This window comes from Homo sapiens, chromosome 8, assembly GCF_000001405.40.
Source record: "Homo sapiens chromosome 8, GRCh38.p14 Primary Assembly".
NCBI lineage: Eukaryota > Metazoa > Chordata > Mammalia > Primates > Hominidae > Homo > Homo sapiens.
In genome coordinates, this window is record NC_000008.11 from 29,235,883 (window position 1) to 29,255,700 (window position 19,818).

Sequence of the window (19,818 nt, forward strand, 5' to 3'; positions counted from 1 at the left end):
GTCAGAAGAATGAAAAGGAATGCTAGAATGAAAATATTTACAAGGAAAATAAACAAGGTTTGGTGTTTGACTAAATAAGGATAACCTAGTTCCTGTAATAAATTCACTTATTAATTCATCCACAGGACAGAACAAATGATCCGGCTTCTTCAACAACTGAGGAGCCAATAAATTAAAAACCATACCACCCAACCTCAAAGTGCAGACCACATCTCAATCCTATTCAAAACAAACTTCGGGGAAAAAAAGACTTGATGAGATAATTGGGCATTTAAACACTGAAAATTTGATGCCACCACCTCACTATATTTTTTTCCTCCTCCTCACACCTATTTTAAATTGTTTAGATATGATAAATGGTATTGAGGTTATGTTTACAAATAATAAAAGATACATTAAAACATCTGTGGGTAAAATCAGATCTCCTTCAAAATAATATGGGGAAGAAGACAGGGATGAAGATGTAGCTAGGACAGTATCAGCCACAAATTAATGGTTTTCAGGGGTGAGTGACAAGAGCATGGAGGTTCATTATACTATTATACTATTCTGCCTAAATTGGCATATCTTTTAAATTCTCCATAACAAAAGTTTTTAAAAATTAAATTGCAAATAAAACTTTTACATATTCGATGATCTTTACATAAATTCTATTTCAATTTTCCTAAAAGTGGAACAAAAGGATTACTGACTTGTATATACAGGTCAAAACATAAAGATAGTCACTACTCTTAATAATTATGACCCATCCTATATAAGTTTTTACTTAATTAAAAGTATATATAAATTACGTTTGATAGAAGTAAAGCAAAGGTGAAATTTACCATCTATAAAATACCTGTGCTTTTTAAAAGAACTCTGTGGAAGAAGTTTGAGGACTCCAGAGTTCTAAACGCTTTTCTTTGTAAAAGAAAACTTTCTCACAAGAAAATGTACAATTCTCAAAATTAAACAATCAAATCATTTCAAATTTGAGTGTGCAAAATCTAACAAGATGCACAACAGAATAACTTTTTCTGCTTTCCAGTTTTTTGTTTTGCTTTTTTTTACTAGTATGCTTATAGATACATCATGTAAAAAAATTAATAACACCATAAATTTAATGGAACTAAGGATTGGTAAAGATTAACCTAACTCTCAGCTTGATACTTGGCACACTGTTGATGTTCGAATATTGAATGCATCAGAAAAAATTATAAACATGTTATGATACAACAACTTTTGTGGCTGAATGGGTTTCTCATGTCACATTTCCTCAAGGAATACTGCTCCCTCCATCTTTAAAACAGAAATCTAGATTCTTATACAGCATCTGATTTATATTAGTAACAATTTCTATCCTACAGATTGAGACAAAGAGCGCTAAAAAAGTACTGTCAAAAAAACTAAGCAAAATAAGCCAAAAAAAAAATGCAATAGTAGGACCTGGTAGTTGCCTAAACTGTGTTCATAATTAGATATTTTATTTAATATATTATATGCAATCTGACCACTTTATGCTGAGTCCAGAATTCTAGGGAAATTCAAAACACGTAATTCCTATTATCCATAACTAACTTAATCTAGAGCTGGCAACTAACCATATACACAAACCCTGAGTCCACATATCAAATGTTAGTATCCAGGTAGTAATTCAAGCACAGAGCTAAAGAAAGACTCTTTTCTTGTATTTTTTAAAAAGTTTATTCCTTCTTATTGCTGCACCAAAAGTAGTAAAAGCATGAGCAAAATAATATTTATATTCAATGATAATGCTAAAATATCAAATTCTATAGTAGCAGTCTATTGGCTACCAGTTTATTTTGGCAACCAGCTAGACTCTGCTGGTAAAACTTTGCAAAATTTGTATTTGCTGCAATTTGACTACCTGCTTCCATTAATTATGCAATGATATGCATTCAACCACACATATTTTCTTATCTTTTTAGCTTTTAAGAGTCTCCCTGATTCATCTTCACAAGTATATTCAAAAGTAGTAAATGATCACAGTATTCTTTTTAAAGGGAGAGGCTGAGGAATCATATACAACTTCTGAGTACACAGAACCACGCTCTCCCCACTGTACTCTAATAAAATTAGCAGGACGGGCTCCCTGAGGAAGAGCCCCATTATGAAATTAAAACATACCACGTACTGTTCTCCAGAGGAGCAGACTCTATTTGAGGAGAAATATTAGCCCCACTCAAGTCATTTCACAGCAGAGAGAACAAACAGGTCTATTGTGGGTACCATAATTACATTTTGCATGACTTCCTTCAATTAAAATCGCTATTTAAATTAGCATCCATATAGCAGTAGAGAAATCTAAAAAGTCATTATCTAATATGACCTAATGATGCCTTCCACTAACAAGGAATTAGTCTGAAAATGACTTCATGTATGCCATAAGGCCCTCCCCTCAGTAGCATTATGCAATATAATTTGCAAGAGAAGTGTATGGACATGGGTCAAACTCACTCAATTCTGCACATACTTTAAGGGCTCCAATCTGTACATCCACCAGGGTCAGAGTACACTGAAGCTCCAAAGAAGGGTTGGGTGTGTTTTGTTCATATTAGGTACTCATTAATTACCTAATGATACTGACTAAATTGATGTCTAGTAAAACTATCAGAAGGAACAAAAAGATTTTTAATGGCCTTACTAAAAAAGATGATGTGATCAACATCTCAGTCTTCCCATTAGACTGGCAGCTGTAACCTTTACGCTGTCTATTGTTCATTAGGTTAAACATGACACATGGGGGATGGAGAGGGCAGCATCATATTTTACTGTAAAACAAGAACAGTCTCTGCCTATTTGTGCCATCTGTGGCTACTTTCATCCATGTTAGAGCATCTTCCCCACCTGTTCTAAAGAATAAGTCAACTCACAGAACACCAAAAAAATCAGTGTTCAGGTTAATGAAGATCTTGACACCCAAACCTCCAAATGCTTTCAACCTCCAAACGTTCTGGTCTCAAAACCTTACACTTAGGGGTGGAGAGGACAAAAAAAGAATGAAAATTAGCCAGGCATGGTGGTACATGCCTGTAGTCCCAGCTACTCAGGAGGCTGAGATGGGAGGATCACTTGAGCCTGGGAGGTGGAGGCTGCAGTGAGCAGTGATCACACCACTATACGCCAGCCTGGGCAACAGAATGAGACCCTGTCTCAAAACAAACAAACATACAAAACAAAACAGAAAAGAAAGAAAGACAGGATAAACTCTAGGCTGATGTCTTTAGCACTGTGTTAATGTGCATACCCGCCCAGCCCCCCAAACCATACACACGTAATAGAAGACAGAGGGCTAAGGAAGAAAATGGACTCACACTTGACCAAGGAACTGAAAAGTGCAACTTACACGGAGGTGTTCTTTCCTGTCAGGTTTTGGTTCTGATGTTTAAAGCAGCACCTCTGAGGAGGTATAGCTCCCTGTTTCCGTCTCTAAAAGAGCTGGAAGTATACTACGACAATTTTCACTGCACACTTCCTTGAAATTCATTGCAAATAAGACAAGAGGGGAAAGCCTATGTTCTGATTTTGTTTAAAAGGACAAAAGAGAAACAGAAAACCTAACATTGTATGTTCTCACTTGTAAGTGGGAGTTAAACATTGGGTACACATGGACACAAAGATGGGAACAAGAGACACTGGGGACTCCAAAAGGGGGAACGGAAGGAGGAGGAGGCAAGAGCTGAAGAACTCCCAGTGGGTACTATGTTCACTGTCTGGATGGCAGGATCAACAAAAGCCCAAACCTCAACATTACACAATATACCCTTGTTTTTTTTGTTTGTTTGCTTGTTTTGTTTTGAGACTAAGTCTTACTCTATCGCCCAAGTTGGAGTGCGGTGGCACGATCTTGGCTAACTGCAACCTCCGCCTTCCAGGTTCAAGCAATTCTCGTGCCTCAGCCTCTTGAGTAGCTGGCATTACAGGTGCCCGCCACCATGCCTGGCTAATTTTTGTATTTTTAGTAGAGACGGGGTTTCACCATGTGGGCCAGGCTGGTTTCGAACTCCTGACCTCAAGTGATCTGCGTGCCTTGGCCTCTCAAACTGCTGGGATTACAGGCATGAGCCACTGCGCCTGGCCGCAATACACCCTTGTAACAAACCTGTATGTGTACCCCTGGAATCTAAAAGAAAAAAAAAAGAAACACAAAAGAGGAAAAAAAAAAAAAGAAAGAACAGGAAATTTGATAAAATACCAAGTTTGAGCTTTCTCCCCCAAGCTAAGTGGGTGATATTATTTTCAGCTCCTTTTAACATTTTTTTTTTGGTCTTTAAAAATCATGCATTATATTTTATAAGAATAGTGAAACTTTTTCGAGTCACCCTTCTGGCCTTTCACTAGAAAAAGGCATTCATGTACACATAATACTGGGCAAACAACTTACAGATATGCTTAAAAAAAGCAGCAGTCATTGTACGCTTCATCACCATGCACCCGCAGCAGGGAAAAAAAAAAAAAGCCGCTTTCACGTAAGAATGTCCTCCATAAAGTGAAAATGTGAAGAAATACAAGGGAAAGAAGAAGATCAAATTCAAGAAAGTGGTTAACTGTGGTGGAGAGAGAAAGGGTTCCTATGTGAACAGAAGGCAGTTCACATAGGTTTAAACTGCATTGGAAAGGATTTGTTAAACTGATAGGTACATAAAAGTGTTTCATTCTTTAGAACTTTTTGTATATTATGTTTTTTAATTTTGCTCAAATTTTTCAAAACCTTGTTTTAAAATAAGTAAGTACTGCTCAATAGAGAAGTATACCAGAATCTAGTTTACCAGAACGCGGGGTTCTAAATCAGTAGCCAAGGGCTGAATCTGGCCAGGAGTGTTTGGCTTGGACAGCACTATGTTTGGTTTTGCTTTTTCATTGTAATCTGAATGCCTTGAGGCAGGATATGCACTCTTTAATTAGCCAGAGTTACCTCCATTTTCTTTACAGTAGATGAGAGTTTTTAAAAACTGGAACTCTCACGCATTGCTGGTGGGAATGTAAAACGGTGCGGCAGCTTTGGAAACCAGTTTGGCAATTCCTCAAAATGTTCAGAATACAGTTATCATATGACCCAGAAGCGTTCCATAACTAGAAATGAATCTAAGAGAAATGAAAACGGACGTCCACACAAAGACTTGTACACAAACTGCATTATCCATGAAGCCAAAAGAGTAGAAACAATCCAAATGCCCATCAACTGATGAATGGATAAACAAAATGTGATACAACAGACTATTATTTCATCATAAAAAGGAATGAAGTATTGATAAATGCTACGAAGTGGATAAACCTCAAGAACCTGATGCTAAGAAGCCAATCACAGAAGACCACATCATGTATGATTTCATTTATAGGAAATGTCCAGAACAGGCAAATCTCACATCTACAGAGACAGAAAGTGGATTAATTAACATGGTGATAAAAATGATGTACAAGCAGATAGTGGTGCAGGTTGCACAATTCAGTAAGTGTAATAAAAACCACTGAATGGTTCACTTTAAAGGGGTGGATTGTATTGTCTTACTATTATATCTCAATAAATCTTTTAAAAAATAAACCAGGGACATCTATTTGGTTCTTAGAAGCTTATAAACTGGATTAAACCCCTCAAATTGGGGTCTGAGGACTCTTGGGGGATTCCCCAGAGCTTTTCAGAGAGTCTGGAGGTTGGGATTATTTTCATAACAATACTAAGGCATCTGCCTTTCTCACTGTGTTGACATTTGTGCTGGTGGCACGAACATGATGGAGGGGAAACTGCTGGTGCCCTGGGCACAAAGACATCACAGCGAAGCAGTCTCTGTGCTTTTCATCACCACGCACCCGCAGCAAGGGAGGGAAAAAAAAAAAAAAAAAAAAGCCTTTTCCACATAAGAATGTCCTCCATAAAGCAGAAAGAATGATTATTCATTTTATTCAGTCTCGGCCCTTGAGTACACAGCTATTTAATATTATTGCAGTGAAATGCGAAGATTGAGACAAAATATTTTTTTTAAAAAAGATATGAGGCAAAAAAGAAAAAAAGTATGTTCGAGTTGTGGATTAAACTAGTCACTAGCTTAAACTTTCCACTTGAAACTGACAGTTCCTATGGGAAAATGCACTCCATTTTCCAAACTCACCTATGCCTCAACTTTTATAACACAAATGATTCATACAGTGGAGGCTCCCACTCTCCATGGGAAAATGCACCTTAATCCCTTTTAAGGCAATGTTTTAAGTATACCAATTAACTTTTTAGCCAGAGTTAGCAAGAAAGGCCTGTTTGGTGGGTAGAGGAGAGAAAGAAGCAAAAATAGAAGATAAAACTTAGCTTAAGAAACTATTTGTATCGTGCCACCACACTCCAGCCTGGGCAACAGAGGGAGACCCTATCTCAAAAACAAACAACAACAACAACAAAAAACCCCAAACAAACAAAAAAGAAACTACTTTGCCTACCATGGTGACAGGCATTAATGTTTTATTACAATCTCACCATGGCTTCCAAACAACAACAACGAAAATTTACTACAGGATAAAAGTTTAATAAGTTTTAAGATATAATTCAAATAAAATAAGGCCTAAAGATTTAGTCATTTAAAGGGAAGCAATTTAGAAATATACTGCTGACAAAGATTTGGAAAATCCCAAGAACCGATCTAGAAAACTAATTGAGGGGAAGAAGATAATTCCAAAAAGATATTAATTGTTCTAGTAGTATAAGAAGTGCAGCTCTGCATGAGCAAATAAGTGATAAAATGTATCCATGTGTATCCAGGATAATACACAGAAGAACTAGACTGATCTGGTGGATTCAAGTATTTCAGTCAGGAGAGTGCTCCGAGCAGTGGTGTGGAATAGGAAGAGTTCGTCATTTATCTTTTCCATATTTGCCAAAAACGTCCTTTCGTTCTTATCCTATGTTCACAGCAATGTTTTGACCTGGTTTTCCAATTAGTTGATACCAAGAAGGAGAAGAATGGATTGCTGAGATTAATATTTTATTCACTGTAAACATAAAATCAGAGGTCCTGCCTGTCTCCTTAAGAGATGGCATGTTAGTCCCCAAGACTCCACTCAACATTAAGCAAACTGAGTAAAATAAAGTTTATGACCTTGCAAAGCTGAAATTTCTCTAGAACTAGGTGATTTCTTGGTAGACATCTATACTCAAGCATTGAATTGAATACATTTTGGCTTAAAAATGTAGTAACCGGTCGGGTGTGGTGGCTCACGCCTGTAATCTCAGCATTTTGGGAGGCAAAGGCAGGCGGATCACTTGAGGTCAGGAGTTCGAGACCAGCCTGGCCAACATGGTGAAACCCCTTCTCTACTAAAAATACAAAAATTAGCTGGGAGTGATGGTGGATGCCTGCAATCCCAGCTACTAGGGAGGCTGAGTCAGGAGAATTGGTTGAACCTGGTGGGGCGGAGGTTGCAGTGAGCCAAGATCGCCACCATTTCACTTCAGCCTGGGCAACACAGCAAGACCCAGTCTCAAAAAAAAAAAAAAAATGTAATAACTGGCCCAGTGTGGTGGCTCACACCCGTAATCCCAGCACTTTGGGAGGCCGACGCAGGCAGATCACTTGAGGTCAGGAGTTTGAGACCAGGCTGGCCAACATGGCAAAACTCTGTCTCTACTAAAATACAAAAATTAGCCAGGCATGGTGGTGCACACCTGTAATCCCAGCTACTTGGGAGGCTGAGGCATGAGAATTGCTTGAGCCCAGGAAGCGGAGGCTGGAGTGAGCCGAGATGGCACCCCTGCACTTCAGCCTGGGCGACAGAGTGAGACTCTGCCTCAAAAAAAAAAAAGAAAGAAAAGAAAAAAAAGAAAAACTACTTCTCCTGATGTAGTCTCTTGCCATGCTAGCAACGTTCTGTTTCTTATCTGGGTGCCACTTATATTATAAGGAATGTATTCACTATGAAAATTCATCAAGCTATACATTTTGCTGTATGTGTCTCTATGTTAATAACAATAAACCTGCCCATGTACAGAACACTTTGCAAGATCTTTTAAAAGTCACTAATTTATTTGATCTTTGTGGGAAAAAACTTTTGTGAGACACGTAAGACAGGTTCAAAAAAATTAAAAATAACTCACTATGATAACATAATGAAGGATTCGATTTCAGATTTTCTCCAAATCCAGGGCTCTTTTCTTTTCTTTTTTTTTGAGACGGAGTCTCGCTCTGTCGCCCAGGCTGGAGTGCAGTGGTGTGATCTCGGCTCACTGCAACCTCTGCCTCCCAGGTTCACGCCATTCTCCTGCCTCAGCCTCCCAAGTAGCTGGGACTACAGGCGCCCGCCATCACGCCCGGCTAATTTTTTGTATTTTTAGTAGAGACGGGGTTTCACTGTGTTAGCCAGGATGGTCTCGATCTCCTGACCTCATGATCTGCCCACCTTGGCCTCCCAAAGTGCTGGGATTACAGGCGTCAGCCACTGCGCCCAGCCCAGTGCTCTTTTCAACTCAATTAAACTCAACTCAAAAGAATATCTGCAGAGTGCCAAATACAGCGCTGGTTCTAGAAGGATTTATGAATCCTACTTTGCACAAAGCCTCATGCCAAATGTCTTTCACCTCTCCACTTTCAGGGCCAATACAAAAACATCTCTGATACAGCTGATCTCCAGAAAAGGTCAGCCTATCCCCACTCTGACCCATTCTCTACATTGCCAATCAACAACTTTTCCTAATCCACCTTGATCCTCAATCATAATACTCAAAAACTGCCAAAAACAAAATCTTCCTGACAAAAATACAGGCCAAACTTCCTCATCTGCTTTCCAGGTCTTCTGTAATCTTATCCCAGCTTATTTACAGTCCTCCATTTACTAAGAAAACCCAAAATAATCTTTTCCTGCCCCAAATTCATGTTCTTCCCTTTCCTTTTGTTCATACTACCATACATATCTAGAAATGATACTCAAATATTCATCCTCAGCCCTCGAGTCTCTTTCCCCCAAAGACATTAAAATCCACTGTACAGCTGGAAGTTACAATCCAAAACAATCTATAATCATTAAATTAGGTAGGACAGATTATAACTGACAGGTATTTAGAGGAAAGACATCACTGCGGGCTGCAGGCATACCTTCATGAAGATAGCACTTGAAATGGGCTCTGACAGCATTTGAACTGGCAGAAGTAAAAGCCACTCATGCTAAGGAACCGACTTACATCCTAGCTAATCCTCCAGCCAGCTGCACCTCCTTCAAGAAGCCTTCTTCAATTGCTTCTCAACATAACACTCAGTCTCTTCTGTGTGCTTCTAATACAATTACTACCTCTAATACTCATTCAGGCACACTGTCATCCCATATTATAGACTTCATCTCTTCAACTTGAGTACAGGCTCACAGAAGACAGCAATATGTCTCTACAGGGTAGGCATTCGATATCTATTCAATGCAACTTAATTCAGCAGCCACAGTTGCTTCCAGTTACTTAAACATCCATTGAGCACAGCACTGTTTCTTAACTCACCGGGCATCTCCTTTGGAAAGATTCGTATTTACAGGATTAAGAATAACCTTGTTTGCATCCACATCCACCACACATTTGGTATGCAAGTCAGTCTCTGTGGATAAAAAAACAAGAAAAACAGTCATTTTAAAAAGTAATTTATTTCAGAAAAGGCAAAATTCAGAAAAGACAAAAATTCAATACTCTTTCATAATGCAAACACTCAATGAAGTAGGAATAAAAAAAACTTCCTCCACTTGATAAGGAGCACCAACAAAAACCCACAGCTAACATCACACTTAATGGTGAAGGACTGGGCAGCTTCCCACCCTACATCAGGAATGAGACAAGGATGTCTGCTATCCAATTTCTACTCACCACTGTACTAGGAATTCTAGTCAGGGCAGTTAGGCAAGAAAAATAAACAACAGGCATCCAGATTGGAAAGGAAGAAGTAAATCCTAAGAGAAAATCCTAAGGAAACCGCTAAAAATCTGAGAATAAACATGTTACGCAGAATACAAGAATATATAAAAATCAGTTGTGTTTCTGTATACCAGCAATGAAAAATCTGAAAGTGAAATTAAGAAAACAATTTCATTTATAATAGCGTCAAAAATATCAAAATACTTAGGAATAAATGTAAAAGAAATGCAAGACTTATCACTGAAAATTCCGAAACACCGTTGAAAGAAATTAAAGACGTGTGGGGGATATCCCAATTACTCTGATTTGATCATTACACATTGTATACATGTATCAAAATATCACATGGCCGGGTGCGGTGGCTCACGTCTGTAATCCCAGCACTTTGGGAGGCCGAGGCGGGTGGATTACTTGAGGTCAGGAGTTCGAGACCAGCCTGGCCAACATGAAACCCTGTCTCTACTAAAAATACAAAAATCAGCCAGACATGGTGGTGGGCACCTGTAATGCCAACTACTAGGGAGGCTGAGGCAGGAGAATCGCTTGAACCCAGGAGGCAGAGGTTGCAGTGAGCTGAGATCGTGCCACTGCACTCCAGCCTGGGAGACAAGAGCAAAACTCTGTCTCGGGGGAAAAGAAGAAAAGAAAGAAAAACACAAAATAGGTACAACTGTGATATATCAGTTAAAAAAAAAAAAACTTTTTAAAGAAATTAAAGACTCAAACAGGAAGACACTGCATGTTCATGAATTGAAAGACAATACTGTTAAGATGACAATATTCCCCAATTGATCTACAAGATTCAAGGAAATCCTATTAAAATCTCAACTAGCTTTTTTATAAAAACCAACAAGGTCTGACAATACATACAGAAATGCAAAAAATTCAGAATAGACAAAACAATCTTGAAAAAGAAAAGGAGGGCACTCACCCTCCAATTTCAAAACTTACTACAAAGCCACAGTAATCAAGTCAGTGCAGTACTTACATAAGGAAAGACATATATAAATCGATGGAATAGAATTGAGTCCCCAGAAATATATACTGTCACATTTATGGTCCATTGATTTTGACAACGATGCCAAAACAACCCAATGGAGAAAGAATAGTCTTTTCAACAAATGGTGAGACACTGGATATCCACAGGCAAAAGAATGAAGTTGGATCCCTACCTCACATCACATTCAAAACTCCAAACAGATCAAAGGGCTAAATGTAAAAACTAAAACTATTAAGTTCTTAGAAGAATACAAAAGTGTATATCCACATGGCTTTGGATTAGGTAATGAACACCCAAAACACAGACAACAACAACAAGATAAACTGGACCTCATCAAAATTAAAAACTCTGGGGCTGGGCATGGTGGCTCATGCCCGTAATCCCAGAACTTTGGAAGGCTGAGATGGGGGGATCATTTAAGGCCAGGAGTTCAAGACCAGCCTGAGCAACATAGTGAGACCCCCACGTCTAAAAAAAACAACAAAAAAGTAGCCAGGTATGGTGGTACATACCTATAGTTCCAACTACTGGGGAGGCTGAGGTGGGAGGATCCTTTGAGCCCAGGAGTTCAGGGTTACAGTGAGCTATGAGTGTGCCACTGCACTACAGCCTGGGCAAAAGAGATCTGTCTCTAAAAACAAAAATTTTTTTTAATTAAAAATTTGTGTGATTCAAAAAGCACACCATCGACAGTGAAAAAGGGAATGAAAAAGTATTTGCAAATCATGTATCTAATAAGGAACTTGCATCACAATATATAAAGAACCCTTACAACTCAATAATAAAAAGACAAATAGGCCAGGTGCAATGGCTCACGCCTGTAATCCCAAGACTTTGAGAGACCAAATTGGGAGGACTGCTTGAGCACAGGAGTTTGAGACCAGCCTGGGCAACACAGAGACTCTGTCTCTACAAAGAAAAAAAGTTTTTAAAAATAGCCAGGCATGGTGGTGGGAGCCTATGGTCCCAGCTACTCAGAAGGTTGAGATAGGAGGATGGCTTGAGGCAGGGAGATCAAGGCTGCAGTGAGCTGTGATGGCAATACTGCACTCCAGCCTAGGTGTGAGAGTAAGACCCTGTCTCAAAAAAAAAAAAAAAAAAAAAAAAGACAAATAATCAAATTTTTAAATAGGCAAAGGATCTGAATATACGTCTCTCCAAAACAGATATAAAAATGGCCAATAAGCACAAGAAAAGATGTTCCATATCATTCAACATTGGAATGCAAATCAAAACCACAATGAAATACCATCTCGCATCCACTGGGATAACTATAATCAAAAAGACAGATCATCACAAGGGTTGGCAAGGGTGTGGAGTAATTAGAACCCTCATACATTACTGGTGAGAATGTAAAATGGTGCAGTCACTTCAGATAATAGTCCAGCAGCTCCTCAAAAAGTTAAACAGCGTTACCATCTGACCCAGCAATTCCACTCCTAGATACATACCCATGAGAACACAAAACTTGTACACAAATGTTCACAGTACCATTATTTGGATACTCATAACAGCCAAAAAGTGGACACAACCCAAATGTCCATCAACTGACCAATGGGTAAATGTGGCATATCCCTAGCGCAGAACACTACTGAGCAAAAAAACGAATGAAGAACTGTATTAGTCCATTTTCACACTGCGATAAAGATATACTCGAGACTGGGCAATTTACAAGAGAAAGATGTTTAATGGACTCACAGTTTCACGTGACTAGGGAGGCCTCACAAACATGGCAGAAGGCGAAAGGCACATCTCACATGGCAGCAGAGAAGAGAAGGACAGCCAAGCGAACAGGGTTTCCCCTTATAAAACCAGCAGATCTCGTGAGACTTATTCATTACCATGAGAACAGTATGGAAGAAACTGACCCCATGATTCATTTGTCTCCCACTGGGTCCCTCCCACAACACGAGGGAATTATGGCAGCTACAATTCGAGATGGGATTTGGGTGGGGACACAGCCAAACTATATCAAGAACTGATACAAGCTACACTGTGTATGAAGCTAATGCTAAGTGAAAAAAGCCAGTCATCAAAAACCATACATTGTATGATTCCACTTACTTGAAATATCCAGAATAGGGAAATTTGTAGAGACAAAATAAATTAGTGTTGTCTAGGGCCAAGGAGTGACTGCTAACAGGTACAGTTTTCTTTCAGGGCTGATGAAAATGTTCTAAAATTGATTGTGCTGATGGCTGTACAACAGTGAGCAAACTAAAAACACTGAATTGGTTGAATTGTATGGGGCATGAATGATGTCTCAATACAGCTGTTTTAAAAAAGTAAAGACCATGGCTTGTTTATCCTCTCATATTCTTATATTCTTATATTTTTCTGAACCAAAGTATGAAACTGTTTGTTTCCCTTATCTCCGCTACTAAAAGATAAGCTCTGCCGGGCACAGTGGCTCATGCCTGTAATCCCATCACTTTGGGAGGCCGAGAAGGGTGGATCACTTGAGATCAGGAGTCTGAGACCAGCCTGGCCAACATGGTGAAACCCCGTCTCTACTAAATATACAAAAAAATTAGCTAGGCGTGGTGGCATGTGCCTGTAGTCCCAGCTACTCGAGAGGCTGAGGCACGAGAATCACTTGAAACCAGGAGGTGGAGGTTGCAGTGAGCCAAGATCACGCCACTGCACTCCAGCCTGGGCGACAGAGCAAGACTCCGTCTTTAAAAAAAAAAAAAAAAAAAAAAAGATAAGCTCTAAGGAAAGGAACAATACCATGTCAGAGTTATGCTGTACTTCCTAAAGAACCTTGGCCAAATGTCAATGTCATATTCATTATAACTTAAGAGTGTGTCCACTCTCAAGAAAGGTAATTGTTTTTTTCACTTTAACTCACATAATTAAGCCAAATGCAAAAAAGCAAAACAAAACAAAAACTTCCTTCCCTGTGCTGGCCAAAACTTAACTTTTCTCACATCAGTTATTTTACATTTATTCTCAAATACGTATTCAAAAAGTACTAAGTAGTTAGTGGTCTCTCCTTTAGCCAACACATTTTTCAAGCAAAGAGCAAAGAGAATCAAAAGGAAAACTTTAGAGCTATGTTTTACCTAAATGTGGAAACACAAACCCAAAAAAGGCAAATCTGTTCTACCATGGTCAACTGGCATTAAAGTCTATTTCTGATGTTTTGTCTTTAAATCTGCTCTAGACTATCACAGAAATGCTGCAAGAAAGTCTCAGCCACACTGCAACAAGTTTTCAAACATGCAATTTTACCTCTTCACTTCCTCAGGCCCAGAGGTCCATGAGAGTTTCTTAAAACCACTGCTTAATGGAATCTGACCATATTGTATCAGCTGGCTCCTTACAGTCAAATCTGTATCATACACAAGCACATTATCAACTCTCCGGAAATCTACTGTGACTCACCACCCACCACAAAGTTGGTCATTAGTTTCTTGCAAGAACATTTCGTCTGCACAGAAGAACTCTAAGTGCCGTTCTCATACAGAATACATCTAGAACGCAGGCCTGAAAAAAATGGGTGGTTCATCAAACATTTCCCCCACAATAGTGCAGTTCCTTCATTTCAAATTATCTTCAATTAAGAAGGCAGCCAAATACTGTCCTTCAGTATTCACGTTTCTCTCATATGCTCTTAACAGCTTCTCCCTCTGCCACCCCCTACACCATGCATATCATCAGATAAAACCAATAACTTGGAAGAATTAAATGGTATGATTAAGGGACCAATCCCTAGAAAATCCAAAATAATACAAAAAAATCACCTAATAACTAATACACCTAACCTAAACTCATTTTGTCCTAGAGACGGCAACTTAAAAATGTCCCTTACATCTAACACCCATCAAAGATGGCCTTTAATATGTAAACAACCATCTTCACTATTTCAATCTTTTTTGTCAAATAAAATTCCCACCCCAACCCTGTCGATTGAAGGATAGTAAGAGAAGGCTTTTCAAAGGACTGTTGAGAATATGTATACGGGCAGAACATCTAGGACACATGCCCAATCAAATAAAGGCAGTGAGATCTGAAGCAAGCTTAAGGGTCAGATATATGAAAAGCATTTTAAAATGAAACACATTTCGATATAAAATGCTATAGCTAGTGTACCATCAAATGTTACTAGTTGAATTAAATTGTGTTGCTACAAGATTTTAAATATGACACACTCGCCACTGAAAACTTCTTGCTGTATATAGCACTTAGAAAGCAAAGCAGTGGCGTAGACAACATGGTGAAACCCCATCTCTACAAAAAATACAAAAATTAGCCGGGCGTGGAGGTGGGAGCCTGTAATCCCAGCTACTCGGGAGGCCAAGGCGGAAGAATCACTTGAACCCGGGAGGCAGAGGTTGCAGTGAGCCGAGATCACACCTCTGCACTCCAGCCTGGGCAACGAGGGGAGACCCTGTCTGGAAGAAAAAAAAAGGCAAAACAATGATTAAATAGCAGTTACAAATTTAAGCCTTAAATTTAGCCTGGAAAAACAAACAAAAAACACCTATCAAAAATCCAAAAGATCAACACCTTTCTCTTGGCTTAAAATACTAAATTAAAAAAAGCCTAGCTGCTATGCACTGCCTTTGTAAAAACAGCACTAAAGTGTACCCGTGTTCACAGCAGCAGCTAAAATGCAGAGGCAACCCAAGCACCCACTGACGAATGGAGAAACAAAACGTATATACATACACTGGAAAAGTATTCAGCCTTAAAAAGGAAGGAAATTCTGACGCATCATATCATGAACCTTGAAGATATCATGCTAAGTGAAATAAGCAAGTCACAAAAGGTCTATGATTCCATTTATATGAGGTACCTAGGGTAGTCAAATTCATAGAGACACAATGTAGAATGGGGGTTATGAGGGGTTGGGGGAAAATGAGAAAGAGGAGTTGTTATTTAATGGAGATGGAGTTTCAGTTTTGCAAGATGAAAAACATTCTGCGAATAGATGGTGGTGATGGTGATACAACAATGTGAAATGTACTCAATGCTACTGAACTGTGCACTTCAAAGGCTAAAATGGTAAATATATTGTATTTCACAATTTAAAATATAGCACTCAATACTATTATAAGTAACACATGGACAACAGTTTATTCATAGTGAAGCCTAAAATAACAAGATAATTTAATTAGTACTATGTATAAGAAGCAATTAAAAACCAGAGTGATCTTAAAGTAGTACTGTAAGTTTATTTCATGAGTAATCAAGCTTTACAGTACTCAGAACCACAAATGCTTTGACATACCCATGAGCCAGGAAAGGAAAGAAAGGAAAAAAAAGGAAAAAGGAAAAAGGGAAGGGGGATGGGAGAAGGGGGAAGCGGGAAGGAAGGGGAGGAAGGAAAAAAAGGAAGAAATTAATTTATTCCACCAACATTAAAGATTCCGTATTATTTCCCAAACAAGATTCCTTTCCAGGGCAAATTCCCCACAATGAATATTAAAATATCAACAGCTGACAACTCAGTTTATTCAGCCAGCATATTAGTCACCTTGTAAAAGTGAACAATAATTTAAAACAAGTCTTTCTTCGCTGTACACATCAGCTATGGCTAGCACCCAGTGACATCATAGTAAAACACGGGCAGGGCCTGGGAGACTCCCTTTACATAACTCATGTTCCATCTGGGGAAATGCATCATTCTCAGTTTGAACAAAATAATCTGCTTTTCTAATTCTCATTTTCTAATTCTCCAGAAAATTAATAATAATTTCCAAACCAAATCTATTATGCAGAAACATAGGTGTACCTCCCTTTATCTACCAGTCATGTTCCTAAATATCTAACTATAATTTACTCTTAAATTCATTTGGGTTCATTTTTTAAAGATAGATAATAAGCTATTTGTAAGATTTACTTATTCAACCGCAAACTTTGCATGCCACATGTGATCCTATTTTCAACCAATTAGTGTCACATACCCAATACTTTTCCATGTCTACACATGTTCATACATAAAATATTCATCAATGATATTTATGTAGGAAGGACTTGTTTTCCCAATTGGAATATAATATTTAATGGCATAGCAGGAAACACTACCTATACTACTTTGTTCTATTTATAAGTTACTTGGGACCCCCTTTTTTATTGAGATCTGCTGACCCTGGGAGAAAAAAAATTATGTGATACCATATAAGTAAAAAGCAAATTGGTCTTTATTTTCTAAAAAGAGATATATAAAATAACCTAATCACTACTTTTATATTGTTACTAGTAAACATGAAAATGTATTAAATAAATAAAAGATTAAAATACAACTGAGCTCTAACATGGCTAACACAAGAATGAGATGCCAGGTTAGGAGAGGAGATGTGATAGTGTGAAAATAATTAAAATAATCCCCCAGCTACTTGGGAGTCTGAAGCAGGGGGATCACTTGAGGCCAGGAGTTCAAGACTAGCCTGAGCAACACAGCAAGAACCTGTCCCTAAAACAAATTTAAAAAAAATAATTAGCCAGGTGTAGTGGCATGCACCTGTAGCCCAGCTTCTCAGGAGGCTGAGATGGAAGGATCATTTGAGCCCATGAGTTACAGGCTGTGATGAGCTATGATTGTGCTACTACACTCCAGCCTGGGCAACAGAGCAAGACCCCATATCTGAAAACAAATAAAATAATCCTATGTGACCAAAAACATAAAATGTTCATACTCAAGAAATGAATCAGCTGGGTGCAGTGGCTCATGCCTGTAATCCTAGCACTTTGGGAGGCTGAGGTGGGAAGACATCTTGAGCCCAGGAGGTCAAGGTCATAGTGAGCTATGATCACACCACTGCACTTCAGCCTGGGCAACAGAATGAGACTCCATCTCTAAACAAATAAACAGTTTAAAAAAGAAACCAATCAACCTCAGAAGACTAAGAAACAGGTATTTAAAAAACTCATAAGGCACCTGGCCAACATGGTGAAACCCTATCTCTACCAAAAATACAAAAATTAGCCAGGCAGGGTGGCAGGCACCTGTAATCCCAGAAACTCAGGAGGCTGAGAAAGGAGAACTGCTTGAATCTGGGAGGCAGAGGCTGCAGTGAGCCAAGATTACGACATTACACTCCAGCCTGGGTGAGAAGAGTGAGACTGTCTCAAAAAAAAAAAAAAAAAAAAAAAAAAACCCGCTTAAGGCAGAACTAGAATAGCCAAAACAATCTTGAAAAAGAAAAACAAAGTCAGAGGACTTGACTCCCAGTTTCGAAACTTAATACAAAGGTAGAGTAATCAAGACAGTGTGGTACTTACATAAGGAAAGACATATATACATTGATGGAATGGAATTGGGAGTCCAGAAACATACTGTCACAGTTATGGTCAATTGATTTTGACAAGGGTACCAAGACAATCTAATGGAGAAAGAACAGTCTTTTCATCAAATGGTTCTAGAACAACTGGATATCCACATGCCAAAGAATGAAGTTGGATCCCTACCTCATACCACATTCAAAACTCCAACTGGATCAAAGATCTAAATGTAAGAGCTAAACCTATCAAACTCTTAGAAGAAAACAAATGAAAATCCACATGATGTTAGATAATGGTTTCTCAGAAATCACAGCAAAATCACAAGCAACTAAAAATAAACTGGACTTCATCAAAATTTAAAACTTTCATGCATCAAAGGACACAAGGGAGTGAAAAAGAAACCCATAAAATCAAAATATTTGCAAATCATCTATTTGATAACAGAATGGTATACAGAATGTATGAAGAAGTCTTACAACTCAGTAATAAAAAGATATAGTTTTTGAAATAAGGGGAAGATGTGAATAGAGATCTCTCTCAAGCTATACAAACGGCCAATATGCACATGAAAAGACGCTCAACATTATCTACCAGAGAAAGGCAAATCTAAACCACAATCAGATACCACCTCATACCCACTAGGATAGCAATACTCATGGAGAGAGACAAGAACAAGTGTTGGTGAGGATGTGGAGAAAGTGGAACCTTCATGCATTTCTATGGGAATGTAAAATGGTTCATATGCTTTGGAAAACAGTTCCTCAAAAGTTAGTTACTATATGACTCAGAAATTCCACTCCTATACATATGCGTATCTGAGAAAAATGAAAACACATGTCTACACAAAAGCCTGTACATAAATGTTCAAAGGAGCATCATTCATAATAGCCAAAAATTGGAAACAAGCCAAATGCCCATCAATTGATGAATGAATACAAAACACAGCATATCTGTGTAACAGAATGTTGTTCAGCTATAAAAAGAATGAAGTATTGATTCATGACAAAACATGGATGAGCCCTGAATACATTATACCAAGTGAAAGAAGTGAGATACAAAAGTCCACATAATATAGGATTCCATGTATTAAATGTCCAGAATAAGCAAATCCATAGAGTCAGGAAGTAGATTAGTGGTTGCCAGGGGCTGGGAAGTGGGAAATGGAGACTGACTGCTAACAGTTACAAGGTTCCTCTGTGGGGTGATGAAAATGTTCTGGAATTGTATACTAATAATGGCTGCACAAGTCTGTGAGTAAACTAAAACCCAGTGAATGGTACACTTTGGGGATGTGACTTATATCTAAAAACCAAGAAGAAAAAACTCGGAATGGATGACCCCAGTACCCTCAATAGATAGAAAATACAGTTAGGGTCCTTCAACCACATTCCTACACATTCACTACTCAGAAGACCCCAGCTCACCCAATTCCTCCTACTTTCAATAACCTCACATTCTACCCCATCAAGAAAATTAAGCTTGAAATTCCTGGGCTTTCCCATTATATAATTATTCTCTTCCTCCCATATTTCAAAAACTTCTATCTATTGGCTCTATCTATACAAGGTTCAAATATCTCCCCAAAACTTTTTTTTTTAAAAAAAGGTACCTACCCCTCCAGGTACCACTCTGAACCCTCCCCTTCTACCTGGAGTTTCTCAGAGGAATGTTCTTGAGACTCGCTGCCTCCATACTGGCACGCCCACTCACTCCTCAGCCC

The 19,818-nt window shown here is 38.6% G+C and overlaps 1 protein-coding gene across 8 annotated transcripts in view, besides 1 other annotated feature; it reads right to left on the bottom strand.

Annotated features, from left to right (window-relative positions):
* Positions 1-19,818, bottom strand: part of KIF13B (kinesin family member 13B) — a 196,111-nt gene that overhangs the window by 168,605 nt on the left and 7,688 nt on the right. For 6 of the 8 annotated variants that reach the window (XM_011544459.4, XM_005273458.2, NM_015254.4 and 3 more), the window contains exon 2: positions 9,464-9,557. Coding sequence is in view for 5 of the 8 variants with exons in the window: in XM_005273458.2 (XP_005273515.1) it covers positions 9,464-9,557 (94 nt within the window). In the remaining 3 variants the exon portion in view is untranslated. Of the gene's footprint in view, positions 1-9,463; positions 9,558-14,102; positions 14,199-19,818 lie in introns of those variants that run through there. The other 2 variants (XM_047421619.1, XM_011544460.4) reach the window with 1 other exon arrangement.
* Positions 13,405-13,464: a silencer, noted in NCBI's record as "silent region_19068". NCBI's record gives its function as "represses an Ori minimal core promoter by ATAC-STARR-seq in GM12878 lymphoblastoid cells {active_cell/tissue: GM12878}" and the evidence as "EXISTENCE:reporter gene assay evidence [ECO:0000049][PMID:35858748]".